Source organism: Homo sapiens, chromosome 1 (assembly GCF_000001405.40).
Source record: "Homo sapiens chromosome 1, GRCh38.p14 Primary Assembly".
NCBI classification, from domain to species: domain Eukaryota; kingdom Metazoa; phylum Chordata; class Mammalia; order Primates; family Hominidae; genus Homo; species Homo sapiens.
The window spans coordinates 108,912,419-108,934,604 of NC_000001.11; the positions used below are offsets into that span (position 1 = coordinate 108,912,419).

Sequence of the window (22,186 nt, forward strand, 5' to 3'; positions counted from 1 at the left end):
TCAATGTGAAAGACAGATTTAGAGCAGTAATAGTGATGATGCAGGAGAGGTGCAGTGGCTCACACCTGTAATCCCAGCACTTTGGGAGGTTGAGGCAGGAGGATCGCTTGCATCCAGCAGTCAAGACCAGCCTGGGCAACATAGGACCCCTGTCTGTATAAAAAAAAAAAAAAAAAATGGACATGGTGTTGCATGCCTATAGCCCCAGCTACTTGGTAGGCTGAGGTGGGAGGATCGCTTTGAGCCCAAGAGGTCACCTAAGCTGCAGTGAGCTGTGATTGCGCCACTGCACTCCAGCCTGGGCAACAGAGCAAGACCTCTTCTCAAAAAAAGAGATCGGGGGCCGGCCAGGCATGGTGGCTCACACAAGTAATCCCAACACTTTGGGAGTTGAGGTGGGCAGATCACTTGAGGTCAGGAGTTCGAGACCAGCCTGGCCAACATGGTGAAACCCTGTCTCTACTTTAAAAAAAAAAAAGGGTGGGGGGGACACGGGGCGGGGGGCAAAAGTGATGAACAGTACACAAATAGCCCATAAATATATGAGAAGATATTTAACTTCATCTCATCAGCAAACATCACAGTGGAGTACTGGTAGAAACTTATGAGGTAAACAAAAATTACTACCAGTATTCAAATGATGCAGGGTAATGGAAACTCTTGTGTGGTATTGATGGGATAGAAATTGGTATACCCTGAAGTACAATCCAGCAACATTCTGGTGAAGTTAAAGATGCGCCAACTGGATGATCCAGCTGTTTCACTCCTGTTGTGCTCCCAGTTATATACTGCTGATACCCACCAAACTAGAAGAAATGCTTGTTCATGTACACTGAGAGACGTTTCCAAGAATATCTGTAGTGTGCTTATCATAGCAAAAAAATTGGAAGCAACCCAAATATCTGTCACTAATAAAATGGATGATTTCCTAGTCCACTCTACAGTCTGTTATTTTTGAGACTGTGTGGATAGTATAAACCAGTTATTATAAAAAAGCCTTTGCCAAAAACAGCAATGAAAATGAATTAAGGTATACATGGCAACTTGGATGAATCTCACAAACATAAGGTTTCTCAAAGATGGTTGCAGAATACATACAGTATGATACCATTTATAAATGTTTCAAAACCAATATAGCTCTAAAACCAATATAGTTTCAAAAGCAATATAGCACATGCTGTATTGCTAAGAAATACATACATTTGTAATGAAAATGCATAAAAGCGCAGGGAAGACAAGGGAAATTATGAGGGGAGTTATACAAGGGGAGTTTAATGTGTTTGTAATGTTTCTTTTTTTAAGCTGGGTATTAGGTATTTCTTATGCCTTTTAAAATATTGCCTAATATTTTAAAACATTGAATGGATATGGAAATTCTCTGTATTTAATAACTTTATTGAAAAAAGTTTAAGGACTCGTTTACTTGTTTTCTGACTGGCAGTAAGTCTGTCATCTAATGAGATCTTAAAATAGAAAGGGGTAACCTAGAAAAGAGTAACAGCATAGTAGTGGGGATGCTATTTTGATTCTTTTCACGCAATTGAAGGCCTACAGCCTTTTCCTTCTGTTATAAGGAATAAACTGCTCTACAGATTGTTATTTTTGAAACTGTGTGGATAGTATAAAACCAGTTGTTATAAAATGCCTTTTTCAAATTAAGGGGTAATGTAGTAACCAGTGTTAGTTTCCAACCAAAATGTAACTTCCTTACATCAAAGCATTTTAGAGGGGAATGTATATTCTATTTTTGTGTAGCTGGTATAGAAAATTATTATTCTTGGAAGAATACATATTTGTACAGGTTTTCTCGTTTCATATGGGTTTGTGTATCAGATTTTAGAACTGAATAATGTAATGATGCTGAACTTGTACTCTTAAGGGCTCCCTGGTTTATTTGAATTAATTTTTTTTAAACAAAGGTGTACGCCCCAAGTTGGGACGCCGGCATAGTATGGAAAATATGGAACTTATGAAGTTAACACCAGAAAAGGTGGGTGGCAGGTTTTATGTTTTAAATTTCATGAACTATTATAAAATGTTTTAGTAATTTTTAATTTAATGAAATAATTTAAATAAGGCTTGCCCTATATAGGTATCACTTTAAAATTTGCCTGTAAAAAAAAAGTCAGAAAAAGTATAGTGCAAAAAGAATGAGTACCGTATGCTGCCATCTGTTTAAGAAAAATACATGCATATATTTCCTTTGTAGATTCCTAAAACATTCTGGAATAAGATATAAGAAACGGGCTAACAATGATTTCTTCTGGGAAGAGGACTGAGTGTCTGGGTTAGGCTAGAAATACTTTATATACCAGTTTGAACTGTTTGAATCATTTACTATGCAAATGTATTACTTTTAATTAATAGAAGATCAGGAAGATCAAAAGGACAAGCTTTTTTCCCCAACTACATAGCAACATTATTGCCAAGATAAATGAAATTTATGATCAAGAGGAGAGTTGTTTTTCTGGCTGCATTCTTGAAAAGCATTTTTTTTTAACAAGTACTTTGTATTGAAGATACATCTTCCCTAGGCTTTTTCTTGCAGGAGAGGGGTGCACAGTAAAAGGGAAGGGACTTCATAATTAGAAACAGGTTATTGAAGAAAACATCAAGGCTACTTTTTTCCGTTTCCTTTGAACTGAATAATTACATTGTCAAAATAGGCTCTCGGCCGGGCACGGTGGCTCGCGCCTGTAATCCCAGCACTTTGGGAGGCCGAGGTGGGTGGATCACGAGGTCAGGAGATCGAGACCATCCTGGCCAACATGGTGAAACCCTGTCTTTACTAAAAATACAAAAATTAGCTGGGTGTGGTGGTGTCCGCCTATAGTCCCAGCTACTCGGGAGGCTGAGGCAGGAGAATCGCTTGAACCTGGGAGGCGGAGGTTGCAGTGAGCTGAGATCGCGCCACTGTACTCCAGCCTGGCAACAGAGCGAGACTTGTCTCAAAAAAAAAAAAAAAAAAATAGGTTCTCATTCTTTTATGTATATTTTTATTTCTTTTTTTTCTTTTTTGTTTTTTTTGAGACGGAGTCTCGCTCTTTGGCCAGGCTGGAGTGCAGTGGCGCGATCTCAGCTCACTGCACCCTCCACCTCCCAGGTTCATGCGATTCTCCTGCCTCAGCCTCCCGGGTAGCTGGGACTGCAGGCGGGCACCACCACACCCAGCTAATGTTTGTATTTTTAGTAAAGACAGGGTTTCACCGTGTTGGCCACGATGGTCTCGATCTCCTGACCTCGTGTTCCGCCCACCTCTGCCTCCCAAAGTGCTGGGATTACAGGCGTGAGCCACTGCTCCTGGCCTTTCTTTATTTTACTTATTTTATTTAGCCACTGTGGTATATTTTTAAAAATGCTTTTATAAAATACCTTCATTACAGCAACTTTAGAAAATCTGAACACAGAAATCAAGATAATCAGTAATTCTGCCTCCTGATGGTAACTGCAGTTATTTTGGCATCTATTCATCTGGCATTTTCATATGGATATTATAGACACTATTTTCTAATATGTGGTGATCTATCAAGAACATCTTTCCAGCTGGACGCAGTGGCTCATGCCTGTAATCCCAGCACTTTGGGAGGCTGAGGCAGGCAGATCACTTGAACCCCAGAGTTTGAGACCAGCCTGGGCAACATGGCAAAAACCTGTCTATACAAAAAAAAAAAAAAAAGATAGAAAAATTAGCTGGGCCTGGTGTCACATGCCATGCCTGTAGTCCCAGCTACCTGGGAGGCTGAGGCAGGAGTATCGTTTGAGCCTGGGATGCAGAGGTTGCAATAAGCCATGATTGTGGCACTGCACTCTAGCCTGGGTGACAGAGTGAGACCCTGTCTCTGAAAAAAAAAAAAGAAAAAGGAACATCTTTCCATGTCATTAAATATTCTTCTGCCCTATCATTATAACAATAACATATGATTTTTCAATAGTGATAGTTTATGTGTGAATAGTCTTCAAAAAACCAAAATCTAATTGTGTGAGAATCATATCCAAAATATTTTTATTCCAGCCATTCACAGAGTTATTTGGAAACTCTAGTAATTTTTAAAGGACTTTGTGATTTTCCCAAATGTCCAGCTCTTCTCTGTGAGTGGTTCTCAAATATAAATTTGTTAAATCCACAAATTATTTTTAAAAGCTTTTAAAAAGGCCATTTTTGTCTACTTTCTTCTTTTAGGAACATACTAATAAGTAGCAAAATTAATTTGCTTTCTTCTGCCTACCTATGTAGTGGTACTAACAGTGTTATGTAAGAAGCTGACCAGATTCAACCTTGTAATTCTCCAAGAGCCAAGTGATAAAATTCTATCCTTAATGTAAAATATGTTTAAGTGTAATTAGTTCTTTGTATTGGTTTCTTTTCCTCATAATAAAGCTGTCAAAGAATTCATTATTTCATTATTCTCAACATAGTAAAGAAGCATACATAAGGAAAAAGGGAGACTTCTAGGTTAAGAGGCTTCCTGGGAGAGTGTGCAGTGGGAGGGAACTTTTGAGACTTGGATGCCTGAACTTGGATATGTGAAAATGTCTTTACTAACCTCACATTTGATAATTTTGCTGACTTTAGAATTCTTGGTTAGAAATAATTTTTCTTCACAGTTTTTAAGACATTGCTTCGCCCTGTATTCTTGTTTTCAGTATTGTTGAGAAGTTCAAATAAATATATAAGGAACATTTTTAATTTTTCTTCTTGGGTTTTGGGTGCAGTTTTATGTTCTCACATCAAGGACCATTTTCCTTTTCTCTAAACAATAGACCACGAAATCCACTGTAGTAAATAATTTCCCCTTATAACCTGTATGTGAAAAGGAATCGATGGCTTGGTTCACTTACTAGCTACATGTTTTAAAAACAGCAACAAGGCCGGGCGCAGTGGCTCACGCCTGTAATCTCAGCACTTTGGGAGGCCGAGGCGGGTGGATCACGAGGTCAAGAGATCGAGACCATCCTGGCCAACATGGTGAAACCCCGTCTCTACTAAAAATACAAAAAATTAGCCGGGCATGGTGGTGGGCACCTGTAGTCTCAGCTACTCAGGAGGCTGAGGCAGGAGAATCATTTGAACCTGGGAGGCGGAGGTTGCAGTGAGCCGAGATCGTGCCACTGCACTCCAGCCTGGCAACAGAGTGAGACTCCGTCTCAAAAAAATTTAAAAAAAGCAACAAATGTATACACACACACACACACATATATATATATATATATATATATATATATATATATATATATATATATATATATAAATGAGTTCTCACTATGTTGTCCAGGCTCAAGCAATCCTCAAATTCCTGGGCTCAAGCAATCCTTGTGCCTCAGCCTCCTGAGTAGCTGGGATTACAAGTGTGAGCCACCATCCCTAGCTACATGTCTCACTCCCCTGTACATTTATTTCAATTTGTGTCTCATGGGGCACTTTTCTGGATTGGTGGAAATGTTCTTTGTATTGATTGGAGTAGGGTTTATATGGCTTCCAATCATAGACTTAAAATCTGTGCATTTGACTGTAATTTTACCTACGAAAAAATGTGTGTCACTAAAATTATTACATAGCATGAACCTTTAGACTTACTTGTAAACATTTAAGACTGAATGTTAAAGCTGCAAATGTCAGAGCTATTGTATGTAGTGCATATTTTTCCACTGTACTCAATAAATGTTATTTTGTTATTTGTAGGCTGTCATGTATTTAAACCAGATCTAGACCTTTATAAATTGGTTTCGCCTATTGAGAATTTAGTATGGTATTAGTAAAAACAGTACCGTTTTATTTTTTAAAATTACTATGTTTTATATATTAATTTTTATGTTTAAAAATTCTACATACATCCAAAAATTCCAGTTGTAACAGATTTTTAAGTAACTCACGTCTAGAGTAAAACTTTGGCTCCTTCTCTGACCATTCATATTTTATTTTTACAGAGTTTTGGTAAACCTTGCTTTCTTATTCGTAGGTTCTTAAAAACCAGCATTTTAATGTTTTGATAATGAGAATCCACAGTATGCATTTGGTACAAGTCTTGAAAATAGTGCAATATACTAAAAAGGATATTTTTAAAGAGATCTAAAATTCTTCCTCTCTCCCCCAATAGTAAATAAGTGAGTACGTCAGGTTAATATTATGGGAAACCAGAAGAGAGCTGGGGATTTGGGGGTGTTTATTCACCTGCCTTCCATTTATAATTTTGTAGGTACAGAACTGGAACAGTGAAATTCTTGCTAAGCAAAAACCTCTTATTGCCAAACCTTCTGCAAAGCTACTCTTTGTCAACAGACTGAAGGGGAAAAAATACAAAACGAATTCCTCCACTAAAGTTCTCCAAGATGCCAGTAATTCTATTGACCACCGAATTCCAAATTCTCAGAGGGTACGTTTAAACTAAGTTTTTGAGTATTGTGTTTTGAGTACCGACATTTGGGTTTTCTTGTATTCATGCTGAATTTTTAGTAATTTAAATTAGACATTTAATATAAAATATCTTTGTATTCATATTTCCCTATCTTTTCTATCTTCTTCAAAATTAGAAATGGTAATTACTGTCTTAGTAGATAAGTTGCTTCCTTGTATTGGACAGTAATTATTTCTTTTTCTTTTTTTTTTCTCGAGATGGAATCTTGCTCTGTCACCCAGGCTGGAGTTCAGTGGCGCAATCTCAGCTCACTGTGACCTCTGCCTCCCGGGTTCAAGCGATTCTCCTGCCTCAGCCTCCCGAGTAGCTGCGATTACAGGTGCACACCACCATGCCCGGCTAATTTTTGTATTTTCAGTAGAGACGGGGTTTCACCACGTTGGCCAGGCTGGTGTCAAACTCCTGAACTCAAATGATTTGCCTGCCTTGGCCTCCCAAAGTGCTGGGATTACAGGTGTGAGGCACTGCGCCTGGCCAATAATTATTTATTTGAGTCACTATTGTTTGCAAAAATACTACCAGTTATTTCACTGCATTGTCTCCCAGTAAAACCACCCTCTACTCAGCTCAGAAGGCAGAACAAATTAAATTCAGATGCTCAAGGATTTCTAAATATTAATTTAGAATGAAAAGTGTCTGTTAGCATCTACTTGTATTAATCACATTATTGAAACTACAATGATAGAATTACAAACTTTTGATGAAAAATGAGCCTGGGCAACATGGTGAAACTCTGTCTCTACCAAAAAATAAAAAGTTAGCCAGGTATGGTGGTATATGCCTATGGTCCCAGAGCCTAGGAGGTGGAGGTTGCAGTGAGCTGAGATCATGCCACTACACTCCAGCCTGGGCAACAGAGCAAGACCCTGTCTCAAAAAAAAGAGAAAAATGATCATAACAATCAGTTTATTTAATTTATTTAGAAATAAAAATACCGTGGGTTTACTGATAATCAGTATCAGGGAAATCTCGAATCCAGCTACCCCATAATCTGGTAAAAGGATCAAAGTACATTACAAAGAAGGTACTTCATATTATCAAATCCATTTATCTGCCGGGTGCAGTGGCTCATGCCTGTAATCCCAGCACTTTGGGAGGCAAAGGTGGGTAGATCTCCTGAATTTAGGAGTTTGAAATCAGCCTAGCCAATGTGGTAAAACCCTGTCTCTACCAAAAATACAAAAAATAACCTGGGTGTGGTGGCACACACCTGTGGTCCCAGCTACTCAGGAGACTGGGGTGGGAGGACTGCTTGAGCCTGGGAGGCAGAGGTTGCAGTGAGCTGAGATTGCGCCACTGCACTCCAACCTGGGTGACAGAGTGAGACCCCATCTCAAAAAAAATAAAATAAAATTGGCTGGGCGCAGTGGCTCATACCTGTAATCCCAGCACTTCGGGAGGCCAAGGCAGGCGGATCACTTGAAGTCAGGAGTTCAAGACCAACCTGGCCAACATAGCGAAACCCCGTATCTACTAAAAATACAAAAATTAGCTGGGCGTGTTGGCACATGCCTGTAATTCCAGCTACTCGGGAGGCTGAGGCAGGAGAATTGCTTCAACCTGGGAGGTGGAGGTTGCAGCGAGCCGAGATCGCGCCACTGTACTCCAGCCTGGGTGACAGAGTGAGACTCTGTCTTAAAAAGAGTAAAATAAATAAAATCCATTTTTCCAGCAATGAGAGCCTTTGCAAAAAAAAAGCCTTTTTTTTTTAAATTAGAGATTTCTTTTGTCAGCATTTCATTTATACCTACACCTTTGTGTAGTATCTTTTGTCTCGATTTCTTTCCCCCCAGTCTGTGGTATTGTTATAGAATGCCTCGATTTTTATCAGTGGTTTCTTACATAGCTTTTCTGGGGTAGCTATGACTAATAAAAGGAAAAATTATGGGGTATATAGAAATTCAGGGATATTTTTGTAGGTCTAGAGCAGGACTGGAATTCAAGGAAGCCATGCCTTTGTTCAAGGTTTGGGGTCTTAACTAAGCTCACTTAGCTCAACTGAAAATGCCCATACTTTAGGAGCCATATGTGTTTTCACATTCAGAGTTTTGAATTCTAGGCTTTTTTGCCCCTAGGAAAAAGTCTTTTGTTGGTAATTAACACATTTGACTGTAGCTTATGTATGTATCATTCCCAAATCTCAAATTCAACACGTTAAAAACGTCTCTCAGTCACTCCTGTTTTCCTTATCCCAGTTAAAGGGATACCATTTACTCTGTCCCTAAGCCAGGAACCCCGGTGTCATGCAAGATACCCTCTTTCACTAACCACATCAAATCCACTGTGTCCCTCAGATCTGCTCTCACCCTCACCCCTTTCCAAAAATATCTGCTACCCCAGCACATTGGGAGGCCAAAGCAGACAGGTCACCTGAGGTCAGGAGTTTGAGACCAGCTTGGCCAACACGGCGAAACCCTGACTGTATAAAAAATACAAAAATTAGCCAGGTGTGGTGGCACGCACCTGTAGTCCCAGCTACTCAGGAGGCTGAGGCAGGAGAATTGCTTGAACCTGGGAGGCAGAGGTTGCAGTGAGTCAAGATCATACCACTGCACTTCAGCCTGGATGACAGAGCGAGACTCCTCAAAAAAAAAAAAAAATCTGCTACCATGTCTTAGCCTAGTACTTACTCTCTTACCTAGGCTTCAATAGGTACCTGAACTGATGTCCCTGCCTTCATTTATTATCTCTAAACAAAACTGCTTAAAATTGACTATTGCCAGTGCTCATCTTATTTCACATAGGATAAAGTCTACATTTGTTAGTATTGAATACAAAGGCCTCTTCCCTCCTCTATAGCTACCCCTGCCCTTCAGTTCATAATCAGTTGAATACTAAAAACTTTTTGGATTGCATATTAACCAGTATGAAACATCTCTCACCTCCAAATGCTTATTCATTCTTAAGGAGCCAACACAAATACATGCTATGAAATTTTCCCTATTTCTCCTAAAAATTAGTTCCTCTCTCCTCCTCAGGCCCGTAACATTTTTGTATATGTGCCTCTATTATAATATATCATTATGAAAAAATTAAAATAATTACTTGTATTAAACATTATATTCATCATTTCAGTTTTGAAGCCTTCCAAATGAAGTATAAATATAGTTCTTGCTCTCCTCACAAATATTTTTTTGAAGTTTGTATTTTTTCAGGATCTTCAAATCTAAGTATAAAAAAAAGACCTTAGAAATCACTATGGTAGGAAAATACACTTGTTTTCTTTCTTAGCTCTTACAAAGAGATAAGTGTACCTAAATTCCACTGCAGAATGTTTAGAACTGAATGTAGAGCCTGAAGTACAGGCCTGTATCACCAGTGTTTGCATAATTCAGTATCTGTAGTGGTTCTGTTAAGTCTGTTTCTTTAGCCTTAGAAATACAGGAATTAAAAAATGAAGTGCTTTTTGTTGGATTAAAATAACATTTTATTACCAATATTTGCCATCTTGTATTCTTTTTCAAAATGTCAATTTTTAATCCTCATCCTTTACCTTTTGCATTTGAATGCATCATGATGTTCATTGATGATCTAAAGATAATACTGGAATATTCAAATAAACTAGACTTCCTCTCAATATTTTAGAAAATCAGTGCAGATACTATTGGAGATGAAGGGTTCTTTGACTTATTAAGCCGATTTCAAAGCAATAGGATGGATGATCAGAGATGTTGCTTACAAGAAAAGAACTGCCATACAGCTTCAACAACAACTTCTTCCACTCCCCCTAAAATGATGCTAAAAAGTAAGTCATCTCTGTTTCTCCCCCGATTTTAATAGTTCTCTTTGATATTCTTGTGGCTTATTTCTGAGAATTGAATTCCCATCATAAGAGATATAATAAATGAGCCTGAATTCAGGTATATCTGAAATGCTGTTATTTATACAGTTCAAACAAGGTTTTTTCAGTTCCCTTACGTATATCTGTGTTTTTAGTCCAATGTGCTTTCTACTAACTATATTATACTACCTCCCTAGTTTTCTTTGAAAAATCTGTTGTGGAAAATGTGACTGTGAGCCAGGTGTGGTGGTGCATGCCTGTAATCTCAGCTACTTGGGAGGCTGAAGTGGGAGGATCGCTTGAGGTCAGGAGTTTGAGACTATAGTGTGCAATGATCGCGTTTGTGAATAGCCACTGCACTCCAGCATGGGCAACATAGTTAGACCCTATGTCTAAAAAATATATAAAAATAAAATCTGATTTTATTAATTTATTTGAGACGAGATCTTGCTGTTAGCCAAGCTGGAGTGCCAGGCCATGATCGTAGTCAGTGCAGCCTTGTCCTCTACTCTTGGGCTCAAGTGATCCTCCTACCTCAGCCTCCCAAGTAACTGGGACTACAGGCACACACCACCATGCCTGGCTAATTATTTTTATTTTTTGTGGAGATGAGGTCTTGCTGTGTTGTCCAGGCTGGTCTTGAGCTCCTGGCCTCAAGTGATCCTCCTGCCTTAGCCTCCCAAAGTGCTGGTATTCCAGGCATGAGCTACTGTGCCCAGCCTAAATATAACTTTTAAAAATAAAAATGAGGAAGAAAGGTCGTTATACATACCTTATGATTATATATAAAACGTCAATGCTTCATATCTGGATTAAAAAAGAAAAACGAAGACAGACTGAAGAGAAACATATGGCTAAGGCTGAGGCTAAGGCCTGGCTGAGTTAGAAAGGACTAAAATAGGTTACTTATATTTTTCTATTTCAGCTACCAAAAGACTTCTTGTACCATAGACCAAGACTTGCCAGCAGCACTTAACTGTTAGTTTACTAAATGATTTGTATCCAGGGCTTGGAATAAAAAACACTGTCCTACACAACCTGGTCTGAGAAATTATGTAAGAAAAACAGTTTGTTCAATTTCTGAAATCTAGTCACATATCTTATAGTTACATTTTGAGTGAGCATTAAATAGAGAAATATAGTCAAATCTGAATAACGTCCAAGTGGGTCATCTGAAGTACTCTGGGGCTCATTCTTCCCTCCAGCCAATAAAAACCACACCCATCTAGCCAAAGCCCATCAGTGTCAGCGCTATAGCAGGAGGGCAGGGCGGGTCTTGGGACTGGCAAGGCCGAAAAGATCTAGGTATATAATAAATGTGCCTAGGTTTTTTTGTTTTTTGTTTTTTGTTTTTTTTTAATCTTTGGCTTTCTTCTTCTGTTCTTAGCATCATCTGTTCCTGTGGTATCCCCCAACACGGATGAGTTTTTAGATCTTCTTGCCAGCTCACAGAGTCGCCGTCTGGATGACCAGAGGGCTAGTTTCAGTAATTTGCCAGGGCTTCGTCTAACACAAAACAGCCAGTCGGTACTTAGCCACCTGATGACTAATGACAACAAAGAGGCTGATGAAGATTTCTTTGACATCCTTGTAAAATGTCAAGTATGTCTGTATATTTTTTTCGTTCTGCATACAGCTCAGATACCACTGAAAACATTGGTAGTGTTATAATTCTCATTCAGGAAGGGCTTATTTTGTATTAGAGAGTTATTATTGTCCATCATTCAGTAAAAAATTATTGAACACCGATTATGTTTCAGCTGCTATTCTAGGCATCGAGGACACACTTGATTTTTAAAGGATCTTACATTTTAGGAGAGACGTGTGTGTGTGTGTATATATATAGAGAGAGAGTATATGTGTGTTGTATTAGGTAATTATGCTTGCTATGAAGAACTTTAAAGGAGGATAAAGGGGTAGTGGGTAAGCAAAGGTGTTGGTGGTAGGGGGAGTGTCTGTTTTAGGTAGGGTGGTTAGAGAAGACCTTTCTGGATTGTCATTTGAACAGAGACCTGAATGCAGTGAAGCAGTCAGCCATGTGAGTATCTAGAGAAAGAGTATTCCATGCAGAGACAGCAAGTCCCCTCTTGGATATAAAAGCTTAGCCAGTTCAAGGAGTGGCAGATGTGACTGGCATGGGATGAGTAGGGGAAGGGAAGAGTTGTACAAAATGAGGATGGAGAAGTAATCAGGGCCTAGATCATCTAGGCTTTTGGAGGCCATGATAAAGTCGTGTTTTAGATGTATTAGGAAGGTACTGGGAGTGTCCTCAAAGAGGATCCTGGCTACTGATGGAAGAACGTAGAGTGGCAAGGGTGTTAGTATGAAAACCAGCTAGAAAGATTGTATGGTGATGCAGGCAAAAAATATTGGTGATATGGACTAGAGTGGTAACAGTGAGAAGTAGTTAGCATAGGGCTACATTATTAGCTATTATATCAGTTATATATTATGGTTAGTTGGCAGGACCTCTTAATAAATTGAGTAGAGGGTTTCAGGGAAAGAGAATCAAGGATGACTTATACCTTGAATAACTGGGAAATGAATGGTTCTATTCACTGAAATGGAGATGACTAGAAGAAAAGCAAGTTTGGAGAGAAAAAGCAAGAGTTCTGTTTTAGACATGTTAAATTTGGTAAACTGTTAGCCAGTTCAAGGAATGGCAAGTGTGACTGGTATAGACAATGAAGTAGAGGTGTTAAATAGGCAATTTGATGTAAAATCTGGAGCCCAAGGGAGAAGTAAATTTGGGAGACATCAGCTTATAGCTGGTATTAAAGCCCTGGGAAGAAAGTACCTAAAGAATAGGACAGGAAGACTAAGCCCTGAGCATTTCAAAATCTACTGGTTAGATGGAGGAAGATGAGCTGGCAAAGAAGCAACAGCCAGAGAGTTGGAAGGATACCCCAAGGGTGGGCTGGGGAGGGGTGGGGTGTGGTGTGGTGGAAATCAAGTAAAGAGTGTATCTTAAGCAGTGCTCAACTGTGGCAAATGTTGCTAAGAACCTGAGTCAGATGATGACGGAACTACTAGATTTGATAACATGGAGATTATGAATAATTTTGAAAGATACTGTTCCAGTGGCATGGTGGGGACAAAGGATTGAGTGGGGTGAGAAAATGGGAAGTGTGAAAGGGGAGATAGTAAATATAGAAACTTTAATGGGTTAAATGGACCATTAGCTAGAAAATAAATACAAGGCAAATGTGGGGTTTTTTTTTTTCTTTTTGGGGGTGAAAACGTAGTTTATCTACAGATGGAAATGGTCAAGTAGAGAAGAGTCAGTGATGTAGGTAAGTCTGGGGTAACTGAAGAACACAGTTTTTGTGTAGGTGAGAGAGGGAAAGCAGAGTACGGATTTGGAGATGGGAGCAAGTAGGAATTCTCTCGGGCTGCTTTTATTTTCTCACCAAAGAAAGAAGTAGTCATCAGTTAAGATTGGAGTTGGGGAGCACTATAAATTTGAAGAGAAAGGAAGTGGGAAATAGTTGACTTAGAGAAACTGAAACTAGGGGGAAAGTATTAAGAACACTGTGCTGTGCTAAGAACCCACCTGAGGTTCAGTCACTGGAAGTAAAACTAGTGAGTGCAATTGTGTATTTTATCCAGTCATGGCCAGCTGCTTGAGGCACAGAGATAAATCAAGACTGCTATTTTTCCAGGAGAATGGGATTCAGGGGAGAGAATGGTAGTTGAAGACATGTGCCAGGAAGTGATTTTAATAATGGACTTAAGAATCTAGGCTGTAAGAAGGAAAATAAAGAAATGAACACTTCATAACTCATTCTGTGAGGCCAGTATTGCCAATACCAAAGCCAGACAGACACTACAAGAAAAGTACTGACCAATATCCTTCATGAATCCAGATGCAAAATCAACAAAAGCCTACAATCCAAATTTAGCAGCGCCCCTGCTGTAAAGGATTTTACACCATGACCAAGTGGGACTTATTCCCAGGACGCAAGGACTGATTGTTCAACATGTGAAAATCAATCAGTGTAACACATAATATAAACAGAATAAAGGGAAAAAACACATACAGGAAAAAAATGACAATTCAAAACTCTTTCATGATAAAAACTTAAAAATTAGCAACAGTAGGAAACTACCAGAACATAATAAAAGCCATATATGAAACATGTACCGCTGACATCATACTCAATGGTGACAGACTGAAAGCTCTCCTCCAAGATCAGGAACGAGATCAGAATGCAGGTTTTTGCCACTTCTATTCAATGTAGTACTAGAAATTCTAGCTGGAGCAATTAGGCAAAAAAAGAAAAAAAGGCATTCACATTGGAAAGGACAAAGTATCAATAAAATTGACAGAGGTAATCAACAAGTTCAACAAAGTAGCATGATACAAAATCAACACAAAAATCAGTTGTGTGTTTATACACTAACAATGAACAATTGGAAAAGAAATTTAAAATTCCATTTAAAATAGCATCAAAAAGAATAAAATACTTAGAAATTAATCACTGAGGCAAAGACTTGTATAATGAAAACCACAAAACATTGCTGAAAGAGATGAAAGAAAACAAATGGAACAATATCCCATGTTCATGGATTAGAAGACTTAATAATGTTAACATTTCGATACTATCCAAAGTGACCTACAAATTCAGTGCAATCCCTGTAAAAATCCAAATGACTTTTTCCTCCTACAGAAATAGAAAATATAGCCTAAAATTCATATAGAACCTCAAGGGATCCCCAAATATCCGAAATAGTCTTGAGAATAAAGCTTTAGGGCTCACATTTTTTTATTTCAGGTTATTACAAAGCTACATTAATCAAAGCAGTGCAGTACTGGCATAAAAGACAGACATATAGACCAATGGAATAGAATACAGATCCCAGAAATAAACCCTTGCATGTGTGGTCAAATAATATGCAACAGGGGTGCCAAGACCATTCAGTGGGGGAAAAGACAGTTTTATCAACAAATGGTTCTGGGTAAACTAGAGAGCCACATACAAAAAGAATGAAGTTGGACCCTTACCTAATACCATATGCAAAACTCAAAGTGGGCCAAAGACCTAAGCATCAGAACTAAAACTATAAAACTCAAGAGGAGCATGTGGTGGCTTATACCTGTAATCCCAGCACTTTGGGAGGCCAAGGTGGGAGGATTGCTTGAGCCCAGGAGTTCAAGACTAGACTGGGCAGCATAGTGAGACCCCATCTCTATAAAAAAATTTTTTTAAATTAATGGCACACACCTGTAGTCCCAGCTACACAGGAGGCTGAGGTGGGAGGATCACTTGAGCCTAGGAGTTCAAGGCTGCAGTGAGCCATGATCACGTCACTGTGCTCCAGCTTAGGCCACAGAGTGAGACCCTGTCTCTAAAGGGAAAAAAAAGGAAAGCCTCATGGCATTGGGTTTGGCAGTGATTTCTTGGTTATAAAACCAAAAGAGTGAGCAGGGAACAACAACAACAACGTAGACAAATTGGACTTCATAATTAAAAACTTGTGCATCAAAGGACATTATCAACAGTAAAAAGGCAACCCAACATAAAATACTTGGAAATCACATATCTGATAAAGGATTAATACCCAGAATATATAGAAAACTCCTAAAACTCAACAAAAACCAACCTGATTCAAAAATGGGCAAAGAACTGGAAGAGGCATTTCTATAGAGATAACAAGAGGCTAGAATATGACCATGGGAGCCAAATGGCTAAGGCCGAAGTGAAGGATGAGGACATTCAATCAGAGGAAGTCTAGGAACTAAGTGAGGAAGTCTAGGAACTAAGTGCCCAAGTGTTGGGTTAATTGGAGGACATTGAAATTATCAATTTATGACAGGAGAAATGAATGAGCCAGGTATGTGTGGAGGTGGCACTCACTTAGGAGGGCAGTAAATAACTGCACCCTCTGAGGGTTGTGGGCTTAAATGTTCAGGGATCTATGTCTTATCACAGTCCCTAACAATGTAGTGCATATTCAAATATCAGCTATCACACTTCTATTCTTACTCTTGAGCTACAATGCCAGAAACTATGGTGTATACTTGTAAGTGCATGTATTTTTTGACAAGTAGCATGTCTAATATAAGAATCATAATACTCAAACTTGAAAGAAAAATTCAGAGACCAGGCTCATGCCTGTAATCCCAGCATTTTGGGAGGCCAAGGCGGGTGGATCACTTGAGGTCAAGAGTTCGAGACCAGCCTGGCCAACATGGTGAAACCCCCATCTCTACTAAAAATACAAAAATTAGCCAGGTGTGGTGACGCATGCCTATAGTCTCAGCTACTGGGAGGCTGAGGCTGAAGAATCACTTGAACCTGAAAGATGGAGGTTGCAGTGAGCCAGGATCACACCACTGCAGTCCTGCCTGGATGACAGAGCGAGAATCCGTCTCAAAAAAAAAAAAAAAAAAATTCATTCTGGGCTATTTCTTAACAGATTTAACAGCCTAAGACAGAGGCAGGCAAACTTTTTCTGTAAAAGGCCAGATAGAAAATATTTTAGGCTTTGCCGCCCATATGGTATCTATTGCAACTGCCCAACTCTGCCATTTAGTAGGGAAGCAGCCATATAGATAGTATATAAACATATGTATTGATGGGAAAATGAAAATGACTTCATTTACAGAAGCCGGCACTGGGTTACAGTTTGCTGTCCCCTAGCCTAAGACGTGATTTTTTTAAGGTAGTTCCTCATGGGGTTTGTACATATTTCTAAAGATTTGTTAAGTTACACAGTTGATGCCTGTTAGATTATAACCTTGAACTGTCATACTTAGATACAGTTGACCTTGTCTTTTATCCTTGTGACCAATTATAATTAAAACAGTATGACTTAACATAATGCACGTACTAAACCAATGAAGCAGCTATACCTATATAAGCCATTTTAAAGGAAAAATTTTATGCAGTTTCAGGTTTAAAGATTATTTCTTTCAGAAATCAGGCTGGGAACTAAAGAGAACAATATAAAAACAAAGATTAATTTCTGAGAAGCCCCAAATAAAAGTTTACAACTGCGTTTTCTTGTTGTGACTGAGAGATTTAACATAGCTTGGTGCTTTCTTTCCCACAGTATGTCTTTTAATCTCTCTCATAAACTTCTAGGGATCCAGATTAGATGATCAAAGATGTGCTCCACCACCTGCTACCACAAAGGGTCCGACAGTACCAGATGAAGACTTTTTCAGCCTTATTTTACGGTCCCAGGGAAAGAGAATGGATGAACAGAGAGTTCTTTTACAAAGAGATCAAAACAGAGACACTGACTTTGGGCTAAAGGACTTTTTGCAAAATAATGCTTTGTTGGAGTTTAAAAATTCAGGGAAAAAATCGGCAGACCATTAGTTACTATGGATTTATTTTTTTTCCTTTCAAACACGGTAAGGAAACAATCTATTACTTTTTTCCTTAAAAGGAGAATTTATAGCACTGTAATACAGCTTAAAATATTTTTAGAATGATGTAAATAGTTAACCTTCAGTAGTCTATTAAGGCATTAATACTTCTCTGGACATGCGCGTTTGAGGGTGGAGGGGTCCTGTAAGGTGCTTCATCGTCTGTGATTACTGCTTGGGATGTGTTCTTTGGCAGCTTGTGAGATTACTTTACCTAGTGTTTATAAAGTAGGAAGTTAAGTGAATCATAGATTAGAATTTAATACTCTTATGGAAATAATTTTTTAACATCTTAATTGACAATGGCGTTTTTTTATACATAACCATGGATGTAGTGGGAAACAATGTTGTTTGGTAAAAATAATGTACTTGATCAATGTAAAAAAGTATATAAAATAGTCTTACTAAAAATCTAGGTTTTTTTTTCCTCCATGAAAATCTGTTTTTTTAGGCCAAAGTCAGTATAAAAGAAACTCTACTTCTTGGGCTGGGCATGGTGGCTCATTCCTGTAATCCCAGCACATTGGGAGGCTGAGGCAGGAGGATCGCTTGAGGCTAGGAGTTCAAGACCAACCTGGGCAACATAGACCCCCGTGTCTATGAAAAATAAATCAGCAGCCAGGCGCAGTGGCTCACACCTGTAATCCCAGCACTTTGGGAGGCCGAAGCGGGCGGATCACTTGAGGTCGGGAGTTTGAGACCAGCCTGGCCAACATAGTGAAACCCTGTCTCTACTAAAAATACAAAAATTAGCTGGGCATGGTGGCATGCGCCTGTAGTTTCAGCTACTTGGGAGGCTGAGGCAGGAGAATCACTTGAACCCCTGGGAGGCAGAGATTGCAGTGAGCTGAGACCAAGCCACTGGACTCCAGCCTGAGTGACAGAGCAAGACTCTGTCTCAAAAAAAAAAAAAACAGCAAGCATGCTGGCACACACCTGTAGTCCCAACTGCTTAAGAGGCTGAGGCAGGAGGACCACTTGAGCCCAGGAGGTGGAGGCTGCACTGAGCTATGATCGTGCCACTGCACTCCAGCCTGGGTGACAGAGCAAGACCCTGTCTCTAGAAAACAAGTATCTTTTGTGTGTTTTGGGCTGTTTAAAAAAATTATTTAAAATGGTCTCTTCTGTTCCATAATACTGCTGTAAAACAAACTTTTCTAAGTTCTAATATAAAAACAAAAAACAAAACCCATGTGGTTAGGTCAAGAACCTAGGACACATAAACAAACAGAAAACAGATGAAAACTCACAAAAATTAAATATGAAAGAAAGATGTCAGCTAGAACCTTAGTTGTCATTAAGCTTTGTCTTCCTTATCCCAGATATTGAAGGCAGTTTACAAGGGGATGATAACAAAGTAACTAACTAACTGTAGCAAAAGACAAGTATGGGACAGACTGGGACCTGGAGTAACACTGGATCACAGACTGCAAAGGCCCACGCTTGGAACAAGTTGCCAACTTGTTTCACTCTGCTTGCTTCAGACTGTGCACAGCTGGGATGGGATCTGGGGATGTGGACCCCTATTCTTTCAAAAAGTCATTCAGGTGATTTGGATGGGCAAATAGAACTATTTCTCTAATGGCCAATGTTTTTTAAGAGTCATAACCTGGAATTAATTACATTAAGTGCTCAGCTAAAAAAAAAAAAAAAGTTCTAAATTACAACCTGGATTACATTATGTTTCATGTATACTATAAGGTATGATGTCCTGGATAGCATTTTAAAAACTCAGGTAAGTTTCATGGGGTTCTTATAAGAAAATTCAGTTAAGACAATATACCAAACCACAACGTAAAAAGTTTGTGTATACAAACTTTTTGTATTATTTGTACACAAAGTACAAATTTGTATTTGTACACAAAGTACAAACTTTGTGTATTATTTTGTGTATACAATAGTTCTTACAGCCTGTAAACATTCAACATTATTCCATTTAAACATTGTTTTTAACAGCTGTCTACCCTGTTCTGATTTTCCTAAAAGCTTCACACTATATAGGCTGGGCACAATGGCTCATGCCTGTAATCCCAGCACTTTGGGAGGCCGACAAGGGCGGGTCACTTGAGGTCAGGAGTTCGAGACCAGCCTGACCAACATGGTGAAACCCCATCTCTACTAAAAAATACAAAAATTAGCCAGGCATGGTGATGCACATCTGTAATCCTAGCTACTCGGGAGACTGAGGCAGGAGAATCTCTTGAACCTGGGAGGTGGAGGTTGCAGTGAGCCGAGATTGTACCACCTCACTCCAGCCTGGGTGACAGAGCAAAACTCTCAAAAAAAAGTAAAATTTCAAAAAAGCTTCACAATATAAACCTTAATTTTAATGACATATTGGCTAGTCAATAAACAAGTCTTATCTCATCTCATCTCTTTTCTGATAACAAACACCCGATGTGTTCAATTTGCTTTCATATTTAAGTCTTTCCTGAATTGCTGTCATCATTCAACAACAGTTGCATGTCGCCTTGCTAGCTGTCAAAGTAGACTTCATCCCCAAATGGATATCTGTAATGAAAGAATACAAAGGTGAAATTTTATTTAAAAATTTTTTAAAAGAATTTGGTTTTGGATTAAAAGGCATGCAAGCAGCATTAATTCCACTCACAGTTACAGTCTATCACCTGGGGCATTCACTACTTTTCAGAGTCAGATCACAGTTCAAAAGACAGCTCTCACCTTGGGGGCATATTCCCCAAGTCAGTGTGAACATGTCTTGTCCCAAGAGGACACTTTATACGCATGGATGTTCACAAATTTATTCTAAACTGCAGGTGTCTGTCAGGATTCATTTGTTAAACATGTCCTCTGTGTTAAAAATCCTAAAATCCTTTTGCATTTCTTAGAAAAAATCACGTTTCTGATGAAATTCTAAAGATGTTTGCAATATTAAACTAGAATATATTAACATGTATAATTTTGAGACAAGGTCTTGCTCTGTCACCCAGGCTGGAGTACAGTGGCTCGATCATAACTCACTGCCACCTCACGATCCTCTTGCCTCAGCCCTCCAAGTAGCTGGGACTACAGGCGTGTACCACCATGCCTGGCTAGTTTTATTTTTAGTACATAGCCTTGAACAACTGAGCTTAAGCGATCATCCTCCCTCAACCTTCCAAAGTGCTAGGACTGTAGGCATGAGCCACTGCACCTGGCCTAAAATTACATTGTTACAGGCACGTAAGTAACACTTCCTGGATCCAAAAATGTGTATTCTGCATTTCAACAACTGAACTTAAGCGATCATCCTCCCTCAACCTTCCAAAGTGCTAGGACTGTAGGCATGAGCCACTGCACCTGGCCTAAAATTACATTGTTACAGGCACGTAAGTAACACTTCCTGGATCCAAAAATGTGTATTCTGCATTTCAACAACTGAACTTAAGCGATCATCCTCCCTCAACCTTCCAAAGTGCTAGGACTGTAGGCATGAGCCACTGCACCTGGCCTAAAATTACATTGTTACAGGCACGTAAGTAACACTTCCTGGATCCAAAAATGTGTATTCTGCATTTCATATTAAAATAAAAAAGCAAGTGCTTGGGATACAAATATCTGCATGAAAATTTAAAGACTTTATTCCTGACTGGTATCACTTTTAGTAAGCAGTTGAACATAACTTGTAGTGTGAATATGGTTAAAACAAAGGACACCTGATGTCTGTGAAGTCTGCTAAGGACAGGTACAAAATTTATGCATTGCTTTTTAAAAAGTTTAAAATGAGGAATGCTTTTGATAATCAGAAAGACTAATGTAAAGTGCTGACTGATGTCCTGTCTGCAGTTAAGGAAGACACCCAACTCTCTTCTTCCTCATCATGGTATTCTCTATGTATAGATCTCTAAAAATGCAAACTTCCTATGGACAAGACAATATGATTTGCTATAATATGAATTAAGATATGGTAATATCTAATAGTCTCCACTGCTAGGATTCTGAGTAACACAAAAAATAGGTTTTATAAAAAGCCCATGCACTTCAATTGGTGGGGGAAAAGAATAAAGTCATTTTCAGTCGACTGACTCTGTAAAACAGATTACCAATATAACAAGCTATGTTATCTAAATTGCCCTGGCAGTCTTCAGTTTTCTCTAAGTAAACAAAGTAAAAGGAACAATAAGGATGCAGGCGTAGTAATAGCTGTGGAAAAGATGAAACTACAGCCACAGTGACCTGTGGGCAGCCTGCGTAGAGATAAGCTGAGGTGTCAGTCAGACTGATCCTGGTAACGATACTCCATGGCTGCATGAAGATGCTGGAGGCATCAAGTGGGTGGCCTTAACTCTAGTGGATTCACTAGGCAATGTAAATTGGTTAGTGGGTTCCCGTAAGTGCCTGTAACAATAAAATTTCTTTTTCAATGTCCCCAATTCAAACTGGCCTCCTTAACTATCCAGAATCAGTGATGCCTGTCATCTGTTCATCTTAAAATAAACACTTCTTACTTTATGGGATGTAAATATCAAAGAGAAGATGAAATGAAAAGCTTTTACATATATAACGTGTTTGTTAATTCTAATTGTCAGTAAAAATGTGAATGTTGAAGTTGAAATGTGAATGTTGAAGTTGGCACCTTTGTAGTAATCAGAATTCTTGCAGAGAAGAGAAAGA

General features: G+C 38.9%; 2 protein-coding genes across 28 annotated transcripts in view; one reads left to right on the top strand and one right to left on the bottom strand.

Annotated features, from left to right (window-relative positions):
* GPSM2 (G protein signaling modulator 2) overlaps positions 1–22,127 on the top strand; it is a 57,561-nt gene extending 35,434 nt beyond the window's left edge. For 8 of the 10 annotated variants that reach the window (XM_047418723.1, XM_011541302.4, XM_047418724.1 and 5 more), the window contains 5 exons: positions 1,920–1,990; positions 6,195–6,371; positions 9,999–10,158; positions 11,582–11,796; positions 17,283–22,127. In XM_047418723.1, the coding sequence (XP_047274679.1) occupies positions 1,920–1,990; positions 6,195–6,371; positions 9,999–10,158; positions 11,582–11,796; positions 17,283–17,522 (863 nt within the window). In that variant the 3' untranslated portion in view covers positions 17,523–22,127. Of the gene's footprint in view, positions 1–1,919; positions 1,991–5,957; positions 6,161–6,194; positions 6,372–9,998; positions 10,159–11,581; positions 11,797–17,282 lie in introns of those variants that run through there. The other 2 variants (NM_001321039.3, XM_011541303.4) reach the window with 2 other exon arrangements.
* The window catches only part of CLCC1 (chloride channel CLIC like 1), a 33,980-nt gene continuing 28,880 nt past the window's right edge, over positions 17,087–22,186 (bottom strand). For 17 of the 18 annotated variants that reach the window (NR_165299.1, NM_001377464.1, NM_001377462.1 and 14 more), the window contains one exon: positions 17,087–20,083. The gene's annotated coding sequence lies outside the window, so the exon portion shown is untranslated. The remainder of the gene's footprint in view (positions 20,084–22,186) is intronic. The other variant, NM_001278203.1, reaches the window with a different exon arrangement.